Below are 27,851 nucleotides of genomic sequence, written 5' to 3'. Positions count from 1 at the left end.
CTTCCCGCCCTTGGAATCCTAGACAGAAAATGTTCTACAGGAATTACCTCCTCCTCATCCAGTGGAATAGCAAAACAGAGGCTGGGAAGTTACCTGTTGAGAGGCTGCAGAGGGGTTTCTTCCTGTACAAAGGATTGAATAATAAGTTCCCTCCAGTTAGGCACCTATTGATACTGTATTTGGAGTAACTGACCTTTCCAGAGGACTTATTGTCAGGCAGCTAAACCCCTGAACTAAGCACTTTACTGCCATTTCATCCGCACTAAAGTCATGAGCCTGGTCCTCTAGTTTTCTACACTTCTTAGAGGAGGAAACTGAGCCGATGAGTTTTGAAGTCATGTTTCCCGGCCAGAAGATGCTCGAGCGAGGCTTTACAGGCGGGCAGTCTGGTTCCAGGGCATGCCACTGCACCACACTGCCCAGAAGGAGGCTCAGCCTGTCTTGTCCTCTCCCTGCTTGGCCTTAACCAGCCACATTTCTCAACTGACCCCACTCACTGCAGAGGTGAAAACTACCATGCCAGGTCCTGCTGGCTGGGGGAGGGGTGGGCAATAGGCCTGGATTTGCCAGAGCTGCCACTGTAGATGTAGTCATATTTACGATTTCCCTTCACCTCTTATTACCCTGGTGGTGGTGGTGGGGGGGGGGGGGTGCTCTCTCAGCAACCCCACCCCGGGATCTTGAGGAGAAAGAGGGCAGAGAAAAGAGGGAATGGGACTGGCCCAGATCCCAGCCCCACAGCCGGGCTTCCACATGGCCGAGCAGGAACTCCAGAGCAGGAGCACACAAAGGAGGGCTTTGATGCGCCTCCAGCCAGGCCCAGGCCTCTCCCCTCTCCCCTTTCTCTCTGGGTCTTCCTTTGCCCCACTGAGGGCCTCCTGTGAGCCCGATTTAACGGAAACTGTGGGCGGTGAGAAGTTCCTTATGACACACTAATCCCAACCTGCTGACCGGACCACGCCTCCAGCGGAGGGAACCTCTAGAGCTCCAGGACATTCAGGTACCAGGTAGCCCCAAGGAGGAGCTGCCGACCTGGCAGGTAAGTCAATACCTGGGGCTTGCCTGGGCCAGGGAGCCCAGGACTGGGGTGAGGACTCAGGGGAGCAGGGAGACCACGTCCCAAGATGCCTGTAAAACTGAAACCACCTGGCCATTCTCCAGGTTGAGCCAGACCAATTTGATGGCAGATTTAGCAAATAAAAATACAGGACACCCAGTTAAATGTGAATTTCAGATGAACAGCAAATACTTTTTTAGTATTAAAAAAGTTCACATTTAGGCTCACGCCTGTAATCCCAGCACTTTGGGAGGCCGAGGCAGGCAGATCACCTGAGGTCAGGAGTTCGAGACCAGCCTGGCCAACATGGTGAAACCCCATCTCCACTAAAAATACCAAAAATTAGCCAGGCGTGCTGGTGGGCACCTGTAGTTCCAGCTACTCAGGAGGCTAAGGCAGGAGAATTGCTTGAACCTGGGAGGCAGAGGTTGCAGTGAGCTGAGATCGCACCATTGCACTCTAGCCTGGGCGACAAGAACAAAACTCCATCTCAAAAAAAAAAAAAAAAAAAAAGTTCACATTTAACTGGGCATTCTGTATTTAATTGGTAATCTGAGATGGCAGGGAACAGCATCAGCATGGTGTGAGGGATAGGCATTTTTTCATTGTGTACAGCTTGTAAATCAGTATTTTTAAAACTCAAAGTTAATGGCTTGGGCATATTTAGAAAAGAGTTGCCGCACGGACTTGAACCCTGTATTCCTAAAATCTAGGATCTTGTTCTGATGGTCTGCACAACTGGCTGGGGGTGTCCAGCCACTGTCCCTCTTGCCTGGGCTCCCCAGGGCAGTTCTGTCAGCCTCTCCATTTCCATTCCTGTTCCAGCAAAACCCAACTGATAGCACAGCAGCATTTCAGCCTGTCTACCTCTGTGCCCACATACCTGGATGTCTACCAGCCAGAAAGGTGGCTTAGATTTGGTTCCTGTGGGTGGATTATGGCCCCCAGAACTTCCCTGTGCTTGCTGGGGGTGTGGAGTGGAAAGAGCAGGAAATGGGGGACCCTCCGATACTCTATGGGGGTCCTCCAAGTCTCTTTGTGCAAGTTAGGGTAATAATCAATATGGAGCTAAGAAAGAGAAGGGGAACTATGCTTTAGAACAGGACACTGTGCCAGGAGCATTGCAGAAATTATATGGTTTTCACGACAGTTCTTTTTGGTAGGTACTGTTATTATCCTCAGTTTGCAGATGAGGAAACTGAGACCCAGAAAGGTTAAATAACTTGCTAGGGTCACACAAGTCATAACTGACAAAGCCTGATTCAAACCCAGGTCTCCCTAACCTTTAAGGTTTCTATGACGCCAGCTCTCCTAGGGAGTTTGTCTTCAGATGTCTTGGCTCTAGGTGTCAAAAAAAGACTTGGTGTCAGGCAGGCATAGGTTCAAGTCCCAACTCTGTCACTTACCAACTGTGACTAGGTGATTGAACTGACCATGGAACCTGGTCACATGCAGGAGCAGGATGGTGAAGGGTTCTTGAAGGCACTTAGGCAGGACATTTAGGCAGGAGAGAAAACCTGGAAACAGAAGAGCTGTCTCCAAAAATACCCACTGGGGAAGCAGGTTGTCATGTGGGCCATGAATGGGACCTGTTCTGGTAACCAAGCATTGCTTATGTGTCCATTACATTTCATAACACTTCCATCCTACTTTACAGGGAACAACCAAGACTGGGGTTAAATCTCACAGCCTGCAAGTGGAAGAGAAGAACTTGAACCCAGGTCCAACTTTTGCGCCACAGCAGGCTGCCTCTTGGTCCTGACAGGAAGTCACAACTTGGGTCTGAGTACTGATCCCTGGCTATTTTTTGGCTGTGTTACCTTGGACAAGTCACTTATTCCTCCTCCCGTTTCCTCCTATGTAAAATGGAAATAATAATGTTGACCCTGGGTCTGAGAGAGTGGATTTGAAAGTACTTAGTGCATCACAAAGCACAGAACACACTTCCAGTCTCGTGATTATGTACTTATGTAACTGGTCATCACCCATCTTGAGAATGAATGCATTGGGGAAAGGGCCATCCACTAGGCTGCGAAGTTTCTGAGGGACTCCTTCGGGCTGGAGAAGGATGGCCACAGGAGGGAGGAGAGATTGCCTTATCCTGCAGTGATCATGTCATTGAGAACAGAGCCAGATTCTTTTTTTCCTGGCAGGGCCAACTTGTTTTAACATCTAAGGACTGAGCTATTTGTGTCTGTGCCCTTTGTCCAAGCAGTGTTTCCCAAAGTGTAGCCCAAGAACCATCTCCCTCAGAGCCACCAGGAAGTGCTTTAAATTGCAGGTTCCTAGGCCACAGCCTGCACCTGCAGAGTCAGAATCATGGAGGTTGGGACCCAGGCACCTGCGTTTCTAACAAATGCCTCGGGTGATTCTGATGCAATTGAAAGTTTGAGATCCACAGTTCTGAGACAATAACAGAATGGTTTTTCTAACCCCTGCAGCCCTGACTTCCTATCCTAGGGAAGGGGCCGGCTGGAGAGGCCAGGACAGAGAAAGCAGATCCCTTCTTTTTCCAAGGACTCTGTGTCTTCCATAGGCAACATGTCAGAAGGGGTAAGTACCCTGTCCTCCAGGGCTCTCCTCCACCCACCTTCCCTCTCTTCTCTCTCTTCCCTCTCCCTCCCTCCTTACTTCTCTATCTTATGCTCTGCCCGGGAATATAGGCACACACTTCTATAACCCCTGTGTGGGTCCTGACCCCACAAAAGGAGGAGGCTTAACAATGACCTTGGGCAAAAGAACTGAAGGTCTGAGCAGGCCCATTTCCCTGGCTGGCTCAGGCTGATGCGGTTGGCTGTTCCTCTTTTTCCTTTCTCTGCCCAGGTGGGCACGTTCCGCATGGTACCTGAAGAGGAACAGGAGCTCCGTGCCCAACTGGAGCAGCTCACAACCAAGGACCATGGACCTGTCTTTGGCCCGTGCAGCCAGCTGCCCCGCCACACCTTGCAGAAGGTGAGGTGGCTGACAGTGCGGAGAGGAGCAGCCTAGGGAGGCAACATGAGGGGAACATGACTGCATTCTCTCTCCTGTGAAAAGGGTCCAGCCTCGGCACTCCAGATCATCCTGGACCTGATAGACTGGCCGGTTCTAAGGTCCTTCCTGGTGGTCACGGCTATGGCAGCAACTGGGTTGACCAGACACCCAGCCAGGCCAGCCCAACCCAAGACTACAGCCCAGAGCCTCGGAACTAGGGCCCTCTAAACTAGACTCAATATGAGAAGCATTGGTTTGGAAATGGCCCCGGGGAACAAGGATCCAACTGCTGCCCCTGCTAGACAGGCAAGAGACTTGAGTTCCAGAACCAGACCTACTTTCAGCTTGCTGTGTGACCTTAGGCAGATTGCTTTCCATCTCTGGGTCTTGCCTTCTGTATCTATGAAAGACGGTTGGTGGACTAGCTCAGAGGTGATCAGATTGTGCTCTGTGGAGGCTGACAGAGCTGTCTTAGGGCTGCTGGGGAGGATGAGAAGTGGCTGAGCTGAGCCTGGGCACCCAGCTTCCATCTCTGCTTCCTTGGGCATCTCAAGGGAAAGGTGCTATTAGCTCCTTCACACTTTACTCCCCCTCCTTTCCCTTCCCTCCTCATGCTGTCCAAGGAGAGAGCTGCCTGAGGCGCACGGAGGAGTTCTCCTGACCCAGCAGAGGGGAGGAATGTGAGGCTCTGGGCAGGAGGCAGGCTGCCATCTGCCAGAGAGCCGTGTTTTTGAAAAAATCAGAATCAAGCCTGGGAGGCAGCAGAGTGAAATGATGGAAAGAGGAGTCCCAGCTCCACTCCTTTCTCTCTGGGTGACCTTGAGCAAGAATATCTTCACCTTTATGAGCCTCAGTCTGCTCATCTGAGAGCTGGGGATAAGAACACCTACCATGATGGTCTGTGGCAAAGATTAAAAAACACAGTGCATTTAAAGGACTTAGCAGGTTGCTAGGCAAAGGCTCAGTGAGTGTAGGCAGTCATTTTTAGAAACTTTTAGACTGTTGGCCATATTCTGCAAATATGCGAATTCTCTCCACACACAACAGTCTCAGGTGTTGCCAGTGCAGATGCTGCCCCTGGGGCAGAAAAGCAAAGCTGCGGCTGCAGACCCCTGGGCCCCCTTGGCTGGTCTAGCTCTGGCAGGAGACTCATCACCTGTGTGTCCTGCCCCTCACCCGCACCTAAGTTTAACTTCATGCACACCCCACCCTGTTCTAGGCCAAGGATGAGCTGAACGAGAGAGAGGAGACCCGGGAGGAGGCAGTGCGAGAGCTGCAGGAGATGGTGCAGGCGCAGGCGGCCTCGGGGGAGGAGCTGGCGGTGGCCGTGGCGGAGAGGGTGCAAGAGAAGGACAGCGGCTTCTTCCTGCGCTTCATCCGCGCACGGAAGTTCAACGTGGGCCGTGCCTATGAGCTGCTCAGAGGTGAGGCCAGTGCTTGGAGGGACGGCCCTGGGAAGACGGGAGGCCATGAGGATGCTATCCGCTCTCATCCTGGCACTGAACAGGCCTGCTTCCATACTGTGGGCAAGTCAGTTTCTCTGAGCCTCCACATCCTTACCTGTAAAATGGGTCAGCTCTGATAATGAGCGAACGAATGAATGAATGAAGTGTGTCAGGAGCAGATTTCTGGAGGTCTGAGTCCTCTCAACTCTCTCCCAGTCTTGGGATTCAATGAGTAAAACTTGGGTACCCCATTTGGGTGACGAGGGGAGGAATTTCCCCTCCAGACCCCCACCATGAGAACCTAAGCTTTGGCTCTGGAATGCTGCAGGAAGGTGGATAGTGCCTCTCTCAGGGCAGTTACCTAAGCCTCATGTGCAGTGGAACTGAAGATGGTGTCAGACCTGGGAATGAACCCCGGGGACAGAACCGCTCTGGCACTGCTGGCTGGATGAAGACAGGATGCCTCAAGAAATCATCGGCCGGTTGCGGTGGCTCACGCCTGTAATCCCAGCACTTTGCGAGGCCAAGGCGGGCAGATCATCTGAAGTCGGGGGTTTGAGACCAGCCTGACCAACGTGGAGAAACCCCATCTCTACTAAAAATACAAAACTAGCCGGGCGTGGTGGCGCATGCCTGTAATCTCAGCTACTGGGGAGGCTGAAGCAGGAGAATCGCTTGAACGCAGGAGGCAGAGGTTGCGGTGAGCTGAGATCGTGCCATTGCACTCCAGCCTGGGCAACAAGAGCAAAACTCTATCTCAAAAAAGAAAGAAAGAAAAAAAAAAAGGGGGTGGTTCCCTCAAGAAATCGAATCTTGGGCACTGGTGGACGGAAATGGGGTCTGAGTGGGCCCTCTGCAGGCTAATGATTTTCCTTTTCCTACTTCTTCCTTCTCCAAATGGTAATTCAGGGCCATGCTGTGCCAAGAACTGTTTTAGGCCAAGGGATGCAGTGGAGACAAAACAGACAAGTTCCCTGCCCTGGTGGAACTCATATTCTAATGGTGGAAACAATACATCCAATAAATAAAGTAAAATTATATAGGGTTAAATAATGGTAAGGAATAAGGAAAGAAATTAAGGAGGTGGATATAAAGTCTTGAGGGGCTGAAGTTTTAGATAAAGTGGCCAGGGAAGTCCCAGTGCAAAGGGAATTTTGAAGAAAAACCCGAAGGAAATGAGATATCTGTGGGGAAGAGCAGCCAGGGCAGAGGCAACAGCAAAGACAAAGGCCAGGGGTTGGGAGGTGCCCAGAGTGTTCCAGAGCAGTGAGCAAGTTGATGTGGCAGTCTCTTGGCAGAGGTGCCCAGGTCCTCTAGGGGCTCAAATTTGGTGGTGCAGGCCACAGAGGTGGGGAACTGCTCAGGATGGGTAAGGATGGTGTTTGTGGACCGTAGAGGTGCTGCTGGAATCAGGAGCTCTGTGTCCTGCTTGGGGTTTGGATTTTACTTGGGAGCTTCTCCTCAGCCCTGTGCACACCTCACCACTCAGCTTATCCTGTGCCCAGCTGAAAAATCTGTGTCTTGTCCCCATGGGGAAGAAAATAACAAGTAATGATTATCCTCATATTTAAGACTATGCCTCATGTTTGCCCAAGCTTATGATGATGTTTACACCTTGAATCTCATTTGATTGCCACAACAATTTGGTGAGATAGGCCACTATCTAGACTATCTAGAATAGATAGGTCAATATCGAGATCCCATTTTTTGGAGAGGAAACATGGGGCTCGGATAGGTTGAGTAGCCAGCTCGGTCACACATAGGACCTGGCAGGAGGTCAGGTCTCTGAGTCCCACTAGGAGGGATGGGGTAGGGATGGGATGGCTCCCTGAGGGGGTTCCTCTGCTCTCCTTCCTCCAGGCTATGTGAATTTCCGGCTGCAGTACCCTGAGCTCTTTGACAGCCTGTCCCCAGAGGCTGTCCGCTGCACCATTGAAGCTGGCTACCCTGGTGTCCTCTCTAGTCGGGACAAGTATGGCCGAGTGGTCATGCTCTTCAACATTGAGAACTGGCAAAGTCAAGAAATCACCTTTGATGAGGTTAGTGGGGGCTCGCCTGGCTCCCACCCTGTGGGCTGGGTTCCCTCCCTCAACCCTGGCCTCTACTGGGCCCTCATTCCTGGTTCTCCAGGAGGCAAGGTCTGTAGAGGGGGAAAGGTGGGCAGCCACCTGCCACCTAGCCCTTTCCAGGCAGGGAGAGAATTCCTAGGATGTGCCAGGGCAGCTGGAAAACCCAGTAGCTTTGCAGGTGGAGCTTGATGGTCAATAATACATGGCTCTTCCTGGGTATCCCTGCCAAGTGCCAAGTGGGGGTAACAGCTGTGTGCCATGAGCTGGGGGCTGCCCTGCCACATGCTAAATGCTGAGAGCAACAGAGAGAACAGGGATTAGTGGACTATAGGCTGGAAGAGATTCTGGAAAGCACAGGTTCCAATCTATTTAGGAGCCCGAGTTCTTTGTGCTCGCAAAATTGTGTACGCAATTTTGCTTGTCTGAGCCGTTAAGGGGGCTGCCCCAAGTTGGGGAATTAGGGTTTGTCTTGGGAGAACTTTGGCATGCGCCACTGAGCCTGAAAAAGATTCCTTTAATTTAAAAAAAAAACTGCTACAAACTTATTTTATTTTATTTATTTATTTTTGAGATGGAGTCTCGCTCTGGTCACCCAGGCTGGAGTGCAGTGGCATGATCTTAGCTCACTGCAACCTCCGCCTCCTGGGTTCGAGCGATCCTCAAGCCTCAGCCTTCCAAGTAGCTGGGATTACAGACGCACGCCACCATGCCCAGCTAATGTTTGTATTTTTAGTAGAGACGGGGTTTCACCATGTTGGCCAGGCTGGTCTCAAACTCCTGAGCTCAAGTGATCCGCCCACCTCGGCCTCCCAAAGTGCTGGGATTACAGGCATAAGACACCGCACCTGGCCCAAACTAATTTTAGATAATGCTATCTAGTTGTGCCAACACAATTTATTAAAAAGTCCATCTTTTTTCAATGACTTGAAATGCCATCTTTATCATGTTTTATATTTTCGTATGTGCTTGGTCTATTTCTGGACTTTCTATTCTGTTCCATTGGTCTCTTTATCTATTCATACTCCAATATCATACTGTTTCGATGATAGAGATTTTGTGGCATGTTTAATCTGTTAGGGCTAGTTTTGTCCTTAGTGATCTGCTTTTTGGGGGGCTTTTCTAGCTACTTTTGCATGTTTATTTCCCCCTATGATCTTCAGAATTAATTTGTCTAGCTTTAGGAGAAATATTAGGAGTATGTTTTGGGGATAATATTAAACATAAATAACAAGCTTGGGGAGAGCTGGCTTCTTTCAGAATGTCACATTCCTGGCCAGTTGTCCTATCCACAAATGTGAGATGCCTTCTGTTTTCTTCAAGCCTACTTTTGAGTTTTCAGGAGTGTTTTAAAGATTTCTTCATAAGCTATGACTGTGCTACTGCACTTCATCTGGGGGGACAGAGAGAGACTCTGCTTCTGAAAAATAAAAAGGTTTTAAAAATTTTTTCCTCACAACGTTGTGCACATTTTTCATTAAATTTGTCTTAGGTATTAATTTTGTTGTCATTGCTAAAAATGGGGCTCTTTCTTCCATTATATCTTCTAGTTGGTTATTGTTTGTATAAATGAAGGTTATTGTTTTTGTTTTTTAATTGTATATCCCCCTATTTTACTGAACTCTTTTAAAATTTATGTTAGTTTTATAATGGATTCTCTGGGGTTTTCTAAGTATACTATAATACTATCTGTAAGTAGAGGAGATAGTTTTTCTTCTCCCTTTCCACTTCTTATGCCCCTGATTTTTTTTTTTTTAACAAATTGATTGCATTGGTTAGTACTTTCAATATAGAATTAAATGGTGGCAGAGATGGTGAAGTCTTTATCTAATTCCTGATCTTAGTAAGGATGCCTCTAGGGTTTTCCCATCAAATAAGACACTGGCTGTAGGACTGAAATGCACACCTGCCTATCTGTGTGTATTAAGGAAGAGACTTAAATATATGTTTTTTCTTATTACGTAAGTGATATCTACTCATTTTAGAAAATACAAAAAATTGGCTGGGCGCAGTGGCTCATGCCTGTAATCCCAGCACTTTGGGAGGCCAAGGTGGGTGGATTGCCTGAAGTCAGGAGTTCGAGTCCAGCCTGGCCAACATGGTGAAACCCTGTCTGTCTCTACTAAAAATACAAAAATTAGCCAGGCATGGTGGCAGGCACCTGTAATCCCAGCTACTTGGGAGACTGAGGCAGGGGAATCGCTTGAACCTGTGAGGCAGAGGTTGCAGTGAGCCAAGATCGCACCACTGCACTCCAGCCTGGGTGACAGAGCAAGACTCCATCTCAAAAAAAAAATTACAGACAAATTTAAAATCATTTGCAATTCTACTACCTAGAGAGCTCTACTATTGACATCCTTCCAATCTTTTCATACATGTATGCACGCACATACACACACACACACACGCGCACACACACACACATTTTTCTTTTTTTTTTTTTTTTTGAGACACAGTTTTGCTCTTGTCGCCTAGGTTGGAGAGCAGTGGCGTGATCTCGGCTCACTGCAACCTCTGCCTCTCAAGTTCAAGTGATTCTCCTGCCTCAGCCTCCCAAAGTAGCTGGGATTACAGGTGCCTGCCACCATGCTCAGCTGATTTTTTTGTATTTTTAGTTGAGATGGGGTTTCACCATGTTGGCCAGGCTGGTCTTGAATTCTTGACCTCAGGTGATCCACCTGCCTCGGCCTCCCAAAGTGCTGGGATTATAGGCGTGAGCCACCGCACCCAGCCCACACATTTTTCTTACAATAATGGGATTATATTCTACAATAATATATCATGCACATTTTCCTGTATTATTAGTCTTCTGTATTGTTTTTAATTGTTCCAGAGTATTCCATGGCATAAATGTACCATAATTTCACCAGTTCCCATTGTTGGACATTTAGGTTGTCTCCAATGTTCCCACTATTGCAAGAGTACTGGGATAAACCTTCTGGCCTCTAAGCATGGATGTGACATTTGAACTTGTTTTCTTGGTATACATTCACAGAAGTGGAATGTCCGAGATCAAAGCCTGCAGCAAATTACCCCAGTGAAGAATGTACCAATTAGCTCTCCCCTCAGGACCTCAAGCCTTAATTATTGTTGCGGGTTAGATCTTACAGCCTGTTCTCTCTGTGCCCAAGATCTTGCAGGCATATTGCTTCATCCTGGAGAAGCTGCTGGAGAATGAGGAAACTCAAATCAATGGCTTCTGCATCATTGAGAACTTCAAGGGCTTTACCATGCAGCAGGCTGCTAGTCTCCGGACTTCAGATCTCAGGAAGATGGTGGACATGCTCCAGGTGAGGCTTAGAGTTCTGTCGCACGGCAGCCTCCCACAGCTGGGGAGGCTGAGAGGCTGGGCCTCCTTTCATGGTGCTTGCAGGGAACTGAGAAGTTGGACCACCTCGCGCCATAAAGAGCAGTGACAGCCACAGTCCCAACCATAAGCACCTGCATAGTGATTGACAGTTTGCCAAGTATTCCCTTTCATTCTTCCATCGACTCCTTGAGAGCATTCTCTCCCTCCTTCCCTGCTTCATTTTTCAAACCTGGAAACGAAGGCTCAGAGATTTAAGAGACATCTCGAGGTCACACAGCAATAAAGCGGCAGAGGCCAGACTTGAACCTGCATCTTCTGACCTGGAATCCCATGTTGTCTGTCCACATATGTCGCACTGCCTCTCTTTGAATGTGGATTCACCCCGAGAAAGGGATTATCACTAACCCTCTGATAACTCACTCCTATATGTGCTGACATGTCAGGAGTCCTTTCTTAGAGCCATCTTAGATCTGCTCTGTGTATTGGGAAAGGAGGGGTGGGAGGTGGAGGTTGTGGGAGGGGCTGATGGACAATGAGGGATGATAATACTGTTCCTGTCGTTTGTAATAGTTTGCAGTCCCTTCGGCAGGCAAGTGGGTTTGAAAAAACTCACCAAAAGGTCAAGCAAGGCTACTTTCATTTCTTTTCCTAATTCCCAGTTTAATTTGCATCAGCAGGGAGAGGGTTGGGTCTTATGAATCTTGGGGCTTCCTCCGTGCAGTCTGGGCCACAGTGAGCCAGGGATCCCTAGTTGCTGGCCTGGAAATAGGACCTTCAGTGGGCCCTTCTCCAGGGCAGCCCTGTGATGCTGGACAAGTCTGTTCTATGCCATGAGGAGAGGCAGCAGGGAATGAGTGGGAGCCTCTGAGGTCACTGGGGCCATGGGGAACGGGGTATCTCTCTGTCACCGCAGGATTCCTTCCCAGCCCGGTTCAAAGCCATCCACTTCATCCACCAGCCATGGTACTTCACCACGACCTACAATGTGGTCAAGCCCTTCTTGAAGAGCAAGCTGCTTGAGAGGGTGAGTACGTGGGCCGCCCAGACAATGAGACAAGAGGGCTGAGGGTGGGGCCTCACCTGAGCCCTCCTCACACTCTACCATGGTCCTGAGCTATGTGGATCCCACTGACACCCAACATGGAGACCTGCGGAGAGAGGTGTCGCCAGGCAAAGACTGCACATGATGGGGCTTTGTCCTCCTGCCCCTTTCCTCCCTCAACCCTCATCCTTAGGGCACCTCCTCCTGCTCAGTTCTGTCTCCCTTGCTTCCCTGCAGGTCTTTGTCCACGGGGATGACCTTTCTGGTTTCTACCAGGAGATCGATGAGAACATCCTGCCCTCTGACTTCGGGGGCACGCTGCCCAAGTATGATGGCAAGGCCGTTGCTGAGCAGCTCTTTGGCCCCCAGGCCCAAGCTGAGAACACAGCCTTCTGAAAACATCTCCTGCCAGCTGAACTGTAGTTAGAATCTCTGGGCCTCTCCTCAACTGTCCTGGACCCAAGGCTAGGAAAGGGCTGCTTGAGATGACTGTGGTCCCCCCTTAGACTCCCTAAGCCCGAGTGAGCTCAGGTGTCACCCTGTTCTCAAGTTGGGGGATGGGTAATAAAGGAGGGGGAATTCCCTTGAACAAGAAGAACTGGGGATAGTTATATTTCCACCTGCCCTTGAAGCTTTAAGACAGTGATTTTTGTGTAAGGTTGTATTTCAAAGACTCGAATTCATTTTCTCAGTCATTTCCTTTGTAACAGAGTTTTACGACTTAGAGTCTGTGAAAACAGGCAAGGAGCCCGGGTTAAAATATCCCCCTATTCGCCCCCAAAATGCAATAAAAGAAGATAAAAGAGAGAGGATATATGTTCAAATGATTTGGCAAACGCAGCAGTCCTGGTGGCCTCTAGGCAGGCTGGGAGTTTTCCACACAGAATTCCAGGGTGGAAGAGGCCTGGAAGTGGCTTCATTCAGGGGTGGCCTCCTCCCCTTGCTGAGGTGCAGTCTGACGTGTGTGGGGTGGTCAGGAACTTGGACCTCTTTCCAGGGTGGCAGTCATGTTCCCTCCATCTGTCTGGGAGAAGGAGTCTTTCCACCAAAAGCTGTCTCCTCCAGTCCCCTTGCCTGGATGGACAGTTCTACTTCGAATTATAAGTGGCATCTTCTCTGAGCACTCACTCAGTCCTCAAGTTATAGAGTTAAAGCTCTTTTTTTGTCTTCACTCTCAGGCATTTTACGGTGATGAACTTACACTTTCCAAATCTGCATTTTTTTTTTTTTTTTTTTTGAGACAGGGTCTCACTTGTCACCCAGGCTGGAGTGCAGTGGTGCAATCACAGTTCACTGCAACCTCAAACTCCTGGGCTCAAGCAAGCCTCCTGCCTCAGCCTACTGAGTAGCTGGGACTACAGGCGCATACCACTGCACCCAGCTAATATTTACATATTTTTTGTAGAGGTAAGTGTCTGGCTCTATTGCCCAGGCTGGTCTCCAACTCCTGGCTTCAAGCCATCCTTCCACCTCAGCCTCTCAAGGTGCTGGGATTATAGTTGTGAGCCACCATGCCTGGCCCAAATCTGCATATTTTGACAAATACAAATGCTTTCCTTCTGTGGAGTTGGCTTTCCTCAAGTGCTTGGTGATTTTCAGGTGTGTGCTCATTTCTGTAGGTGAGAATCCCTGTTAGATGCCCTGTTTGCTGAGCATGCTGTTCCCTCTTGGGTAAGTGCTGGCTTCTTCTGGGCATGGGTCTCCTGAGCATTGACAGATACTTTTTCCAAGATGCTACACTCATTTTCCCACATGGAAGCAGACGCTGGCTGGCTAGTGGCAGTAGGCGAGGCTTGTTGTTCCCACCAAGGCATCCCAGTCAATCAACCCAAGACTTGTCTGCTCTTGCCTGTAGGGTCACCCCCATTCTTTGTGGGTATCAAGCACCCTTAGTGCTGCACCTACCTTTTGGGCCAGGATATTCCAACCGTTTTCTGGACTTTGGATTCAATTCAGTCCTATCTGCTTTCACACCTTTGGGAATTTCTCTGATCCACTGAGAGTTCTCTTTCTTGCTTTTCAGTGAGGCTGTGTACATGTTCATGTATATGTCAATGTATACATATGTGTGTGTGTGGGTGTATATATATATATATTTATAAATAGATATATATATGCACTTATTTCTTACATACTTTCTTCTCTCACTCCTAGGGTTTGTAGTGTATGCTCATTACCCAAGAAACTTCCTTCTTTATAACATTCACAGTCAACAAGCCATGGTCATAAAATCCATGAAAACAAAAATGGTATTTACATAGGACTCCTAGGCTGGAGGAGGAATCACAGCAAATTATTATGGGCAGAAGGGTAGGAGATCAACCAGTGAGGATTTTGTCCCAAAAGTTGAGGCTTCATTTTTGCAAATGAAATCTCACATGGAACCTTGGTATTTAAACCTAAAAAGGGCAGGCATGTGGCTCATGCCTATAATCTCAGCACTTTGGGAGGCCGAGGCAGGAGGATTGCTTGAACGTGGGAGTTTGAGACCAACCTGGGCAACATGGTGAAACCCACCTCTACAAAAAATACACAAATTAGTTGGGCATGGTGGTGCACGCCTGTAGTCCCCACTACTCAGGAGGCTGAGGTGGGAGGATCACCTGAGCCCAGGAGGTCGAGGCTGCAGTTAGCCATGGTTGTGCCACTGCACCCCAGCCTGGACAACAGAGGGAGACCCTGTATCAACAAAACAAAACACAACACCAACCTAAAAAGAATGAAGCTGCTCTGGTAGAAGGGGCCTCACCCTGAGAGATCGCTTATGAACATCTGGAGCTAAGAAGGTATTTCAAGTACGAGAACTGTCAATGGTGCTTTGGGGTCATGTGAGAAAGGAATAGAGACTAGTGTTTGCCAAGGTGGAGGGCACTGGTGACCTGCGTGGAGGTGTTGATGGAAGGGGGTGGTGATGAGGCTGAGTTAAATAATTAAAAGGAATGGGTATTTTTGGCCAGGCGCAGTGACTCATGCCTGTAATCCCAGCACTTTGGGAGGCTGAGGTGGGCAGATCACTTGAGGTCAGGATTTGAGACCAGCTTGGCCAACATGGTGAAACCCCATCTCTACTAAAAATACAAAAATTAGCCAGGCATGGTGGCAGGGACCTGTAATCCCAGCTACTCGGGAGGCTGAGGCAGGAGAACTGCTTGCACCCGAGAGGCGGAGGTTGCAGTGAGCCGAGATCGCACCACTGCACTCCAGCCTGGGTGACAGAGAGAGACTCCGTCTCAAAAAAGAAAGAAAAAAAGAATGGGTATCTTTTACGTTTTCATGATATACTTCTAATTTTTCCTTAAGACCTGGGTCCTAAATCTGAGGGAAACACTGGTTGATCCCTATCCACTGACTCCCATCTTCCCCGGAGCCCCGAGCTGCCAGGTGCCCTCCTGGACACAGTCCAGGTCCACTCTGAATTTGTGGCAGCTCTAAATATATAAATGAAATCAGGCACATGCTGAGCAGAAGACTCTTGGGGCAGCCCTAGCTCCTACTCAAACCCGAATGGGATGCTGGGGTCGTCCCTAAGGTCAGCAGGGCTGGGGCCTTAGCCCAGGGACCCCGTCTGATAAGAAAACCAAGTGGCTTTCTGAGGAAGAAGCCATAGGGGTTGGGAATCCCGCGAGCCGGCTCTGAATGTGTGCTCGCGCCGCCCCCTGCTGGCCGTGCCCTGACACTGCCCCTCCAGGGACAAGCTGGGCAGGAGGGTTAGCTGGGTGGGCTGGGCCAGACCTTGCCTGAGAAGGTGGTGCCGCTTTTGGGAAAACGTGTCTGAAGACTACCAATGTTAAAATCTGACGTGCTCAGCTTCACAAAATCCCAGCTGCCTGTGTGTGTGATTCCTACAAATGGCCCCCACATTATTGGAGAGAGACAATAAAATACTCTTTTGAAGGCCACCAGCTATGGGAAGGGGGACAACAAAACGTGAATTTTATGACAACCATTTGGTGCCCATAACAACTTCCTTTCTGGGGATATCTGATTTTTTTTTTTGTTTGTTTGTTTGTTTGTTTTTTTTTTTTTTTTTTTTTTTGAGACGGAGTTTCGCTTTTGTTGCCCAGGCTGGAGTGCAATGGTGAGATCTCAGTTTACCGCAACCTGCACTTCCCGAGTTCAAGCGATACTCCTGCCTCAGCCTCCTGAGTAGCTGGGATTACAGGCATGCGCCACCACGCCCAGATAATTTTGTATTTTTAGTAGAGACAGGGTTTCTCCGCATTGGTCAGGCTGGTCTTGAACTCCTGACCTTAGGTTAGCCTCCCGCCTTGGCCTCCCGAAGTGCTGGGATTACAGGCATGCGCCACCGCACCCGACACTTTCTGGGGACATCTGGGATAAGGCAGGGATTCTGCCTCATCAAAGTAATTTGAGGGTTGGAAGGTTGCAGCAGTGCATTTCTGCCATGCTAATGTGGACGTTGGGAGAATGGAGACAGCAGAGTCTGGAGGCAATTCATCAAGCTGTGGGTGGAGGTCTCAGGAAGGAAGCGGGCACCAGCTTCAGAGAGCCTCTCAATGAGATTGGCCACTGCCTCGGGTTTACCCAGGGGAAAGTGGAGGAGGTTAGTGCTGCCTGGGGGCCTGGCAAAGCCTTACTAGAAGAGGTATACCTTTCTCTTAACTCAAGCTAGCAGGAAAAGAGGTGAAGTGGACTACTGCTGATCCCCCCCCCCCTTTTTTTTTTTTCTTTTTCTTCTCTTTTTTTGAGACAGAGTCTCACTCTGTCACCCAGGCTGGAGTGCAGTGGTGTGATCTCGGCTCACTGCAACCTCTGCCTCCCAGCTTCAAGCGATTCTCCTGCCTCAGCCTCCCGAGTAGCTCGGATTACAGGTGCATGCCACCACACTCGGCCAATTTTTGTATTTTTAGTAGAGACAGGGCTTCACTATGTTGGCCAGGCTGGTCTCGAACTCCTGACCTTAGGTGATCTTCCCACCTCGGCCTCCCAAAGTGCTGGAATTACAGGCATGAGCCACCATGCCTGGCCTCTGATCCCACTTTCGGTTAGGGGTTTGGCTCTGGAGTTGAGGAAGCTCAGAATTGTCAAATCTGGAAGCTTGTGGGATCTCCTGGAGCCTCACTACTCAAAGGGCGGTCCAAGGAGGGCTGGACCTTGGAGCTCCCCATGGGAGCCACATCTCAGACATGCTGCATCAGAATCTGCATTTTTAACAAGACCCCCAGAGGATTGCACATTAAACAACCAATCAGGCCAGGCACAGCAGCTCACACCTGTAATCCCAGCACTTTGGGAGGCTGAGGCGGGAGGATTGCTTAAGGCCAGGAGTTCAATACCAGCCTGGGCAACACAGCAAGACCCTGTTTCTACAAAAAAAAAAAAAAAAAAGGAAAAATCAGCCAAATGCAGTGTAGTTTTAGCTACTAAAGAGGCTGAGGCAGGAGGATCTCGAGTCTGGGAGTTCGAGGCTGCCTGAGCCATGATCACACTACTGCTCTCCTATTAATAATGGGCAACAGAGTGAGACCCTGTCAGAGAGGAGAGAGAGAGAGAGAGAGAGAGAGAGAGAGAGAGAGAGAGAGAGAGAGAGAAGGCAATCAATGCTTACAAAACCGTGGTTGTCTACCTCCCAGCAGGTGGCTCAAATGTGCACTGCTTTAAACCCTGTATGTTGACATATGGAGGTGAGGATATGGAGGAACCCCCACTCTAGTAAGTATTCATATCTGTGGGTTTAAAGGCAAACCTTGCATGTGAGCAGAGAACAGAGAAGAAGGCTGCAGGAGCCCTGTGGGAAGACTGCAGCTGACAGGCTAAATGTCCCAGAATAAGCAAGTTCCACTGTGGGGCTGTGCCCGGAAGTCGCCTTGCCAGTAGGCAGGACATGTATACACCTTGATTTCTCAAGGTGCCCACATATGAAGGAAAAGACAAGGATTAGAGTTTGATGGTGCACACAACGTGGCTCGTCAGCACTTCTGAGCCCAGGAATGTTTTTGGAAACTATAACCAGGACGGGCTCTGCTTTCCTCGCAGCCCATCAGTTAGACGCTTTGATGTGGAGCTGGACCATGTCAGACACTTTGCTTGTAGTTTCTACCTTGGAGATGATGTATGAGTGGGAACAAAACAGATCAAGCCAAACCACTGTCCAAAGTAACATCAGCACTCTGAAAAATATCATCTGAACCTCTCAATTATCCTGAGGTAGGCATTCTTAGTATAATTATTCCCATAGGTAAATTAAATAAATAAATAAATAAATAAATAAATAACAATCCGAGGTTAAATCCTGCTTAGGATCAAAGAGCTAGAAATGGCGAGGATGGGACCCTGACCCAGCAACTCTGGCTCCAAATCTCTCTGGCTCTGTTGTTACTCGTGCTTTGTCTCCAGTGTTTGTTTCACTTATTTCTGGGGATGGGAGAGGTGCAGGCAGAAGGGAGAAGAAACAATGAAATGAGAATTTCATATATTTCAGGTTAATTTCACCAACTATCATCAGATGAGGAGGAAATGACTTTAAGAGGAAACCAGTCTTCAGCAGAGATGCTGGGGTAAATGTGGTAGATAGCATGACTCAAAAGGAAGGTGTGGGTGACACAAAGCCACATGGAGAGAGGTATTTAATTTTATCCCCTTTGGGGAGGGGTTCACCAGTTCGAGGCCAAATTGCCCGTCATGTCTTTCAACCACTCTGATATATGGTAGCACTTTCATGTAACTCCCTCTAAAGACACCCAAGAGAGAAGTGAGGAGGGGAGGCTGTCATATGAAGGGCCATCCAGTAAGGTGTTTGATCCTCACCAAGGGAAAGTACTCCCTATAGGACTAGAGCAGAGAGGCCAGTTAATGAAAGGTAAAATAAAAAGTAGCATGACTGGGGCAGTGAGTGAGGTGTCACTGAACACAAATGCTGTATGGCTGCCTCAGGAGAGGGCAGCTATGTGTGCTACTGGTCCTGCCTGACCACATTGGCATGCAGCTGGCACTGACCTCCCCAATGCCCTGGACCTGAAATCTCTTCCATGTAGTCTTTTCATAGGTAGTATTCTTTGCAAGTTGGTTTTCTTGGGCCAAAATAGTCTGGCTATATTGTGGGGGATATGAATCGAGGGAAAGCTTGCTGACCAGAGAGGGAAGAATTTTGAAATTTGCCACTAGGCATTTTTAGGTTTTGTTAATGCACAACTTCTAAAGCTAACACTCCCCACCCTGCCTAACTTGACGAAGGTTTTGTGTGGCCAAGGAGGGAAGGGAGCTGTGTGTCTCTTGGGGGTGGTAGAACCCTCCTGGCTGAGCCAGTGCTTGGTCCTGGGAGACCCTTAGCTTGGGTTCAGACAGATTCAAAGAAGAAAACACCACCAGCACCCAACCAACCCAATATAATCTTGACTTAGGAAATGTTCACTTAGTCTTTTTTTTTTTTTTTTGAGATGAAGTTTCACTCTTGTGCCCAGGCTGGAGTACAGTGGCGTGATCTCGGCTCACCACAACCACCACCTCCAGGGTTCAAGTGATTCTCCCGCCTCAGCCTACTGAGTAGCTGGGATTACAGGTATGCGCCACCACGCTCAGCTAATTTTGTATTTTTAGTAGAGAGAGGGTTTCTCCATGTTGGTCAGGCTGGTCTCGAACTCCCGACCTCAGGTGATCCACCCGCCTCGGCCTCCCAAAGTGCTGGGATTACAGGCGTGAGGCACCACACCCGGCCTCACCTGTTCTTTTCAAAGAACATTATTGGAAAAGCATACAAATCACACACGGCAAGCACCATTTACACCTTGCCTTGTATTTTGTCTTCATGATCCACTTTAAGAAGTGATTAAAACACTGAGGCTGGGCATGGTGGCTTACAACTGTAATCCCAACACTTTGGTAGGCCAAGGCAGGAGGACTACTTGAACTCAAGTTTGAGACCAGCCTGGGCAACATAGCAAAAAACTAAAAACTAAACAATTAGCCAGGTGCAGTGGCAAGTCCCTGTAGTCCCAGCTACTCGGTAGGCTGAGGCAGGAGGACTGCTTGAGCCCAAGAGGTCAAGGCTGCAGTGAGCTGTGATCATGCCACTGCACTCCAGCCTGGGCCACAGAGCAAGAACCTCTCTCTAAAAAATTAAAAAAGTAGAAAAGAGATACTTCACTTATTTTAGTTCTTGGCTTTCTTGCCCGGAGAAGATGGGGTTGTGAAGACACTTGTGGCCTGGTCAAGGTTTTGGTATTTGTTTGCAAGGATGGACTAACATCAATTGTGGTGCAAAAATGGGGTTTTGTGTATTTCCATTAATCTCATACTTTGGTGAAGACACAGGAAGAATCCTTTCAGATGGAAAACTGGCACTATACAAAGGACACATAGCCACACCACATTTTTAGTCTTTATTTTTTAGGTAAATTCCATTGAATCAAATATAACAAAATTACAGTTTTTGTTTGTAATGATCTTTGTTCACCACCACACAATCATAGTAGAATCAAAAGTAATATGAGAACATAAAATGATCAAGGACATCAATGTTTAGTATAATTTCTTAATAAAGGTAAATATCCCCATATTTAGAAAAAATTGCATTGCTAGTTGCAAATCTTAAACACCTCAGTGCTGAAGGATCCTGTATTTCCCCCCAAAGATCCAGCAGCACGGAGGCTTTCAGAACACAAACTCAAAAATATAGTATTTTCGGGGCAGCATTTTAAGTTTCAGAAAACCCAAACAAAACAAAACAAAATCAGAATCAGGAATGTGAAAGTGATGGTGCTCTAAAAATCAATCTGGAAGCAGATCTGCCAACATAAGAATGTGGTTGAACAGAGTCTAACCAGGAAAAGGAGAGATGCGAACTCGCTCCCCCTCCCCTCTCGCCATCGTCCCCCGCCCCCAGCGAGCAAGCCGCCCCCTGCTCTGCGCTGTCTCTCCAATGGCGTCTGCCTCCGGGGCCACGGCGAAGCACGAGCAGATCCTGGTCCTCGACCCGCCCATAGACCTCAAATTCAAAGGCCCCTTCACAGATGTAGTCACTACAAATCTTAAATTGCGAAATCCATCGGATAGAAAAGTGTGTTTCAAAGTGAAGACTACCGTGCCTCACCGGTACTGTGTGAGGCCCAACAGTGGAATTATTGACCCAGGGTCAACTGTGACTGTTTCAGTAATGCTACAGCCCTTTGACTATGATCCGAATGAAAAGAGTAAACACAAGTTTATGGTACAATTTTTGCTCCACTAAACACTTCAGATATGGAAGCTGTGTGGAATGAGGCAAAACCTCATGAATTAATGGATTCCAAATGGAGATCCCCAATGAAAATGATAAATTGAATGACATGGAACCCAGCAAAGCTGTCCCACTGAATGCATCTAAGCAAGACGGGCCCACGCCACAACCACACAGTGCTTCACTTCATGATACTGAAACAAGGAAACTAACAGAAGAGTGTAAAAGACTTCAGGGAGAAATGATGAAGCTATCAGAAGCAAATCAACACCTGAGAGATGAAGGTTTAAGGCTCAGAAAGGTAGCATATTCGGATAAACCTGGATCAACCTCAACTGCATCCTTCAGAGATGTCACCAGTCTTCTTCCTTCACTTCTTGTTGTAATTGCAGCCATTTTCACTGGATTCCTTTTCTTTTTTTGGAGACGGAGTCTCACTCTTGTTGCCCAGGCTGGAGTGCAGAGGCGTGATCTCGGCTCACTGCAACCTCCGTCTCCTGGGTTCAAGCAATTCTCCCACCTCAGCCTCCCGAGTAGCTGGGATTACAGGCGCCCGCCACCACACCCAGCTAATTTTTGCATTTTTAGTAGAGAAGGGGTTTCACCATGTTGGCCAGGCTGGTCTTGAACTCCTAACCTCAGGTGATCTACCCGCCTCGGCCTCCAAAGTGCTGGGATTACAGGAGTGAGCCACTATGCCCGGCCTTCATTGGATTCTTTCTAGGGAAATTCGTCTTGTAGAGCAAAGCATGCAGAGTGCTATTTCTTTTTTTTTTCTCTTGACCAGAAGATTTGTTTACCTACCATTTCATTGGTAGTATGGCCTGCGGTGACCATTTTTTTGTGTGTGTACAGCGTCATACAGGCTTTGCCTTTAATGATCTCTTATGGTTAGAAAACACAATAAAAACAAACTGGCTACTGGACAAATTGTATATTACCAGATCATCACTAGCAGCTTTCAGTTGCACTTCAGTCCTTTATCAAATTCATAAAGAATTGTTCTGGGAAGTGAGGAGCACCTCTGCCTGGCCACCCTGTCTGGGAAGTGAGGAGCCCCGCTTCCCGGGAGCCGCCCCATCTGGGAAGTGAGGAGCGCTTGCCTGGCCGCCCAACTGTCTGGGAAGTGAGGTGTGCCTGTGCCTGGCTGCCGCACTGTCTAGGAAGTGAGGTGCGTCTCTGCTGCCCGCCGCCCCATCTGGGAAGTGAGGAGCGCCTCTGCCCGGCTGCTGTGCAATCCTGCAAGTATGAAGTGACAGCCTTGTGTGTGATCTTTCTGCCCTCCCCAAGTTTGCATTTTCGACATTAAAATTTACTTTTTAATTAAAAGTTTTAAATTGGAGAATTAAAAAAAAAACTAATTTCAGCTTATTATTACTAGAGATGCATGAAAGCTCTACCCACATACATGCTAGGAAAAACAGTTCAGAAAACACAGGGGACTGACTCTTCCAAAAGGAGCAGCTGTCTACTCTGCGGCCTGCTTCCAAGGGCCACTGTGGGAGGAAGCCTGGGCTGCAGCGTTCCGAGGCAGCAGCAGCAGAGGGGAAGGAAGGAAGCAGGCCTTGCCTTGTGTGGCATTCCAGTTCCCTCTCCCAGCAGGGGCCAGATTCCCCTTCCTTAGCTTCAACTACAATTTGGCGAAAGCAATTCTAGGGTAATCGGGGGCAGTGAGGGGTGGGGGGCGGTGAGAGGTTTACTTCCCTCTGCTTAGATAACAGAGGTAGAAGAAACCCTTTCTGTCAATTGCTTGGCCTCTAAATGCCACAGGCAGGCTACTTTTCATGGCTGTTCGAAGCATCCAAGCAATCCAAAGTGGCTTTGAACAACAGAGTAAGGCCAAGAAGGGCAAAAAGGGACCAGAGCTGAGGTGTTTGGGCCAGTTCTGGATCACTCATATTGTTGAGGGAGGGGTGGGGGCATAAGATAACAAGGAGCCTACAGGCCACTTGAGGAAATTCTCTGGTTTTGCTGCAGCTTCGCTTCAAACTTCCACAGCAGAAGAGTTGGAATTCTAATGCCGCAATATCGTTGTAATACCAGGGATTCTCTAGAGGCAAGTTAAGGCTTTCTGGGCAAAGAAAACAATTCCAGATGATATTGTGATAGAATGCTACAGTGAAATGCTTCTTAATGACTCTCCTGTCCTGCCTAAAGGACAAAGACCTATGAGTGACTTCAACTTGACGTGATGTTTCAGTGATCTTTTACTTCAGCTCTAAGTCAGAATCAATGCCACAGGAAAAGAAAAGCTTCTTACATCTCAGACATCTGCTTGCTGAGCAAACACAAACAAGAACACATGTATTGTTTCCCAGGAGCTGGCAAACTAGATCTCAAGTCACACAGTTACAAAGAGAGCTCTCATTCAGATGCCGGGCATATAAGCTCAGCTACCCAGAAAGTTCAGCTTTAATGAAGACTGTAGTTTTAGAATGAAAGCCTGAGCAGGAAGGATTTCTGCCCTGGGAATTCTCAATGCTCTGCCTGAGTCACACTGGAGGATGGAGATAGGCTCCTCATTCCAGCGGCCAGCAGCTGCCACAGTCACAAGACCACCCTCCAAACAGCAAGGGTCTTACGATGACAACGGGGACTCTGAAGAGAAGCCAGTCAAAGACACAGGGCTTTGGACAAGATCAAGGGTCTTCACCAGGAAAGCTTAATGCAGAAGCCCCCTCCCTCCAAGTCCCCTCAGCGTGAGCCTTGAGCCTTGACACAGCTGTTTCCACCTGCAAGGGCTGGAGAGGCCAAGTTCACGCAGATGTTCAGCAATGTTCAAGCAAATGATGTGTAAATAGATGAAGTGGTCTTAGAGATGGTCTAAGAGGAGGGAACAGGCTCAGAGAGGTGAGGTGATTTGCCCACGATCCAATGTGAATTAGAGACCATTAGGACACGAACTCAGGTATATTTCCACTCTTACGGTGAATCATAAGGTTCCCAGTAAGTGTAAAATGCTGCAGAGAGGTTAAAAGAATATTGTAACCAACAGCTTTCTGCTTTCATTCTGCTCTGGAATCATTTGTGTAAACTCACAGCAGGAAAAGATAACAGTTTTCTTCAAGTCTGTTAAACTCACTTCTAACATAAAAACATTAAAGAAACTTGACACCATTTTTTGAGTCAGTTAATCCTAATTTGACTGGAATCAGTTACTTGTAAGTGTCTTCAAATTGCTTATGAGACACGGAGTGCTACAGGAGAGATGTGGGTGCTTCTCCCCATTGGTTTTTAACATATTATTCCTGCAATGGAATTGTCCAGATTGATGCAATTTATAGCCTCAATTTGATTCTAAAATATATTCAAATACTCTTTAAAAATTCAGCCTTGTTTTAGCCCAAATAGAACCTTACTAGCAAGAGGGGGATTCATATACTCATCAGAAATGAATGACTTTGGGAAGAAAGGCAAGGACACCTGGAGGAAGGAAAAAAGATGACCTATCTATAAACTGCCACTCCCTCATTTATCAGGCAAGTTTGCAGCTCTGTGAATTCAATGCCTCTGTGCTCTCATTCAGGGACAAACAAGAATTTTCCTGTAAGACAGCCACAGTCACATTCTCATTTCCATGCCTAAGAGCCTGAAGCTTGAACAAAGGGCTTCAGTTAGTTTCATGTGAGCCAAAATGGAATGTGAGTGCCATTCAGAGCCACACACTAAAAAGATTTCAGCTGGGACACTGGCTCCCACAGTCCTGGGGGAGCAAATTCCGGTTGTGTGGCAACAAAGGCTATGCTGCCAGCCCTGCCTGTCCTCCACAGGGGCCACCAGGACTGCCGTGCAGACCAGGCTCCACCCTCCCCCACACCGGTTTGTGTGACAACAGGGCTGTCTTTTCTCTTCCTGAATTTCTGAATGGAGCTGGTACATGGGCCAGCCACTATTTTGTCAGAACAGGTTAAGGGGTGTGGCCTCAGGCATATGAAAGGAGCCTCTCGCTCTTCTGGGGTGGTGATTCAGTCCTAGGAAGTTATTGCTTGGTTTACCTATTCTCATAAAAAGTCTTGATAAATGAAGGTAGTAGTAGCAGAAATATGACTATGAATGTTCTAGATCACAGCTGTAGTTGGGTGAAGGGAAAAGTAACAGAGGAGAGGGGCTAACTTCCAAACTGAGAGGGTAAAGTGCCAGTCTGTGCTAAAAGAACGTGAAAAGGAAACCTATTAGAGAAATAATACACTGGGGGGAAAGTCATAATGATAGAGGCTGGTGAGTGCCAGAAATTATACCAAAGCGAAGTTGAGACCACAGAAATCTCAGTCTCTGAGATAAGGGCTGCTTTTGATGTCATTCGGATGATTTGGTGATTGTCAGAAAACAACTTCTTCAGGTTACAGACCTGGACCCATGCCCACGGGTCCCGTCACAGTCACTTGGACCCGTGCCCAAACCACACCCACCTGTGGCCCTGAGGGTTGGCACTCAGGCGCCCAGGTGGCTCCTTTGATCCCTGAAACATCCATGCAGACCCACTACTTATATTCCAGTCTGTCCTGGAGTCAAAGGAGATGAAGGAGGAAAAATATCTTTTTAAAGTATCCAGGCAATTTTACTCATAGTTCTGTTTAGTTCCAGATAGCAACAGCTGATTGTTCAAAGTGCAGGGTTTTTGGATATTCAAGTACCACAGGATCGGAGAAAAGGAGTACTTGAAACCTAGAGTTGCGTTTTCACTTGAGAAGACACACTTTGGAAACACCTATCCAACAGACTACAAATATAGGCTATTAAATTAAAAATCTGGTTTCAAAATAATACCCACTTAGGTTGGAAATATCTTTCTCCAAACTCAGATCCAACTTTTGAATTGTTTGGTATCAAAGGCAAAGTTAGAGGGACTTGGGTTTAAAAACTAAAATTACAAGTGAGTGCTTAAAAAAAAAACAACTCAAAACATCTTTTTATCAAATAAGGGACACACACACACAAAAGGCAAACGATGATATCTACATGCTTAGACTGGGAGAGCAGCTCCCAGGCTCCCCTGGAGGGATGTTCTCTCAAACCTCAGTAAACTGAGTTTGTCATTGAACTTTGAACCTGGTAGTGAGCTCAGCAATCTACCTGGTCCAAGTCCCCCATTTTAGAGGTGAAGAAATTGAAGTCCACAGCGACTTTGTCCAGGGTGAAAAGCAGAGCCAGGGCACAGCCCAGATGCTCAGCCCACCCAGAGCCCTTCTGAGACATCACACTGTGGTCACACGACGGCAGCTCCATAGCCGGCCTTGCTGCTCTGGAGACCGTGGGAGCTAGAGGACACCCCTGATTATGAATTTCAATAAAACGAGCTGCAAAGATGTTTCCAATTTAAGGGCGCTGTTGAACAGCATTTCCAAAATTTGCTTGGTGATGAGAATCATCTGGGGCACTTGTGAAAAATTAAAATCCCCAGGCTCCTTCCCAGACCCAGTGAATCAGCCTCTCCGAGGGGAGGGACCTGGGAGGCTGAATTTTTAACAAGTGCCTCACGTAACTCTCAGCAGCAGCAAAGCGTAGGGAAATGGTCTCAGGAGACAGGGCGAAAACTTGGCTTGTGACTCAAAGGAATTTCCTTTGCCGTTTAAGAAGCCACACTCTGGCCTGGGAAGCCTGGGTTCTCAGGCTCCCAAGCGGAGCTGTGTCTTCAGCATTGGCCTGGAAGGGTGAGCTCTTTTTAAGGTCTATGTAAGGACACATACAACCACCACAAAATGACATACATCCTTCACTGTTCTCAGGGAAAAGCCTTTTGGTGGCAAAGCAAAATCGCTATTCAGACACATTTTTAATAGGGAAACTAGATGTACTTGGCTTAAAAGCAACCAGATGCTGAAACTGGACAGAGGGCAAGAACTCTGTCACTTGTCACCATGCCTAACAATGCAATGGAGAAAACCAGTAACTAAGCACAAAAATAGCCTGGAGCTCCCAGGAAGAGCTGCCTACTCCGAGACAGGTGTGCATGGTGGGTGCCCCCTGCTGATGGTGTGAGGTCAGATCCAGGTCACTGAGGGAGATGGGAGACCTGAAACAGGGGGTGAGGGGACGCAGCTTCCAGAGGAGGGCTGCTGGAGCGTGCCAGAGTCCGGAGGCCTCACTCCAGGTCGGCCTCCACCTGCTCCGTGTCAGAGCACTGCAACTTGTTACGCTCCCATTGGCAAATGGCGTTGGCGTACTCCACCACCAGCTTATCCATCCATGTCAGGGGCTCGGGGAACAGCACAGAGCCCTCAAAGAAGCCCAAGTGGCCCCCATGCAGAGGCAGCACAAACATGACGTTCTCTCGTTTCTCTGCAGGGGAAACGCAGCTGAGTGAGTTACTGTTCTCTAGTTTGCTCCAGGACAGGAGGTGCAGAGGTGAGCTGGCTAGGGTAGCCTGGCTGTCCCCGCAGGGTCACCTAAGTGGGCATCCAACCTCTACTCACTCTGCCTTGTTCACCAAAGAGGGGGCAGGCAAGACAGTGGCATCTAGCAGGTTTTAGAGTACAGCTTGGCTTTGGAGCTGAATGGGCACCAGCTGAAGAAAGCCTTAGAACTCTAAAGGGTTCTCAAACTCGGCTGCATATTAGAATCAGTTGTGGAGTTCTTAAAGCTCCTTAACCCCAGGCTGGCCCAGATGAATTAAATCAGAATCTCTGGGGGTGGGAGGTGGGAGAGGAGTGAGGGAAGGGAATTCCCAAGTGTTGGTATTGCTCAAGCTCCCCAGGTGATTCAATGTGTTTCCTAACTTTGTGCATCAAAATCACTTAGGATATCTTATTAAAATGCGGATTTTGATTTAATAAGCCTGAAGTG

The 27,851-nt window shown here is 48.2% G+C and overlaps 2 protein-coding genes and 1 pseudogene across 17 annotated transcripts in view, besides 4 other annotated features; 2 read left to right on the top strand and 1 right to left on the bottom strand.

The window, feature by feature from the left end:
- Positions 995-12,705, top strand: RLBP1 (retinaldehyde binding protein 1). 3 transcript variants are annotated; one of them, XM_011521870.3, is made up of 9 exons: positions 995-1,039; positions 2,715-2,778; positions 3,499-3,610; positions 3,881-4,009; positions 5,250-5,454; positions 7,336-7,514; positions 10,673-10,831; positions 11,765-11,875; positions 12,131-12,705. In XM_011521870.3, the coding sequence occupies exons 3-9, from the start codon at positions 3,599-3,601 to the stop codon at positions 12,287-12,289; spliced, it is 954 nt and encodes a 317-aa protein (XP_011520172.1). In that variant the 5' UTR covers positions 995-1,039; positions 2,715-2,778; positions 3,499-3,598; the 3' UTR covers positions 12,290-12,705. The 3 variants fall into 3 exon arrangements, with proteins under 3 accessions (XP_011520172.1, NP_000317.1, XP_047288883.1); NM_000326.5 differs by having other exon boundaries at positions 2,715-2,837; XM_047432927.1 differs by having other exon boundaries at positions 995-3,610.
- Positions 15,273-15,342: an enhancer, noted in NCBI's record as "active region_10044". NCBI's record gives its function as "activates an Ori minimal core promoter by ATAC-STARR-seq in GM12878 lymphoblastoid cells {active_cell/tissue: GM12878}" and the evidence as "EXISTENCE:reporter gene assay evidence [ECO:0000049][PMID:35858748]".
- The window catches only part of ABHD2 (abhydrolase domain containing 2, acylglycerol lipase), a 161,358-nt gene continuing 153,725 nt past the window's right edge, over positions 20,219-27,851 (bottom strand). For all 14 annotated transcript variants that reach the window (NM_001416423.1, NM_001416424.1, NM_007011.8 and 11 more), the window contains one exon: positions 20,219-27,347. In NM_001416423.1, coding sequence (NP_001403352.1) covers positions 27,151-27,347 — 197 coding nt within the window. In that variant the 3' untranslated portion in view covers positions 20,219-27,150. The remainder of the gene's footprint in view (positions 27,348-27,851) is intronic.
- LOC124903574 (vesicle-associated membrane protein-associated protein A-like) lies at positions 20,761-23,734 on the top strand (annotated as a pseudogene).
- Positions 24,642-24,936: a silencer, noted in NCBI's record as "tiled region #8523; K562 Repressive non-DNase unmatched - State 17:Gen3'". NCBI's record gives its function as "represses a minimal TATA promoter and a strong SV40 promoter by Sharpr-MPRA in K562 cells {active_cell/tissue: K562}" and the evidence as "EXISTENCE:reporter gene assay evidence [ECO:0000049][PMID:27701403]".
- Positions 26,702-27,202: an enhancer, noted in NCBI's record as "H3K4me1 hESC enhancer chr15:89738603-89739103 (GRCh37/hg19 assembly coordinates)". NCBI's record gives its function as "activates a minimal SCP1, AML or CMV promoter by ChIP-STARR-seq in naive H9 embryonic stem cells {active_cell/tissue: H9 hESC(naive)}" and the evidence as "EXISTENCE:reporter gene assay evidence [ECO:0000049][PMID:30033119]".
- Positions 27,203-27,703: an enhancer, noted in NCBI's record as "H3K4me1 hESC enhancer chr15:89738102-89738602 (GRCh37/hg19 assembly coordinates)". NCBI's record gives its function as "activates a minimal SCP1, AML or CMV promoter by ChIP-STARR-seq in naive H9 embryonic stem cells {active_cell/tissue: H9 hESC(naive)}" and the evidence as "EXISTENCE:reporter gene assay evidence [ECO:0000049][PMID:30033119]".

Source organism: Homo sapiens, chromosome 15, assembly GCF_000001405.40.
Source record: "Homo sapiens chromosome 15, GRCh38.p14 Primary Assembly".
Classification (NCBI taxonomy): domain Eukaryota; kingdom Metazoa; phylum Chordata; class Mammalia; order Primates; family Hominidae; genus Homo; species Homo sapiens.
This window is presented reverse-complemented; position numbering and strand designations above follow the sequence as displayed.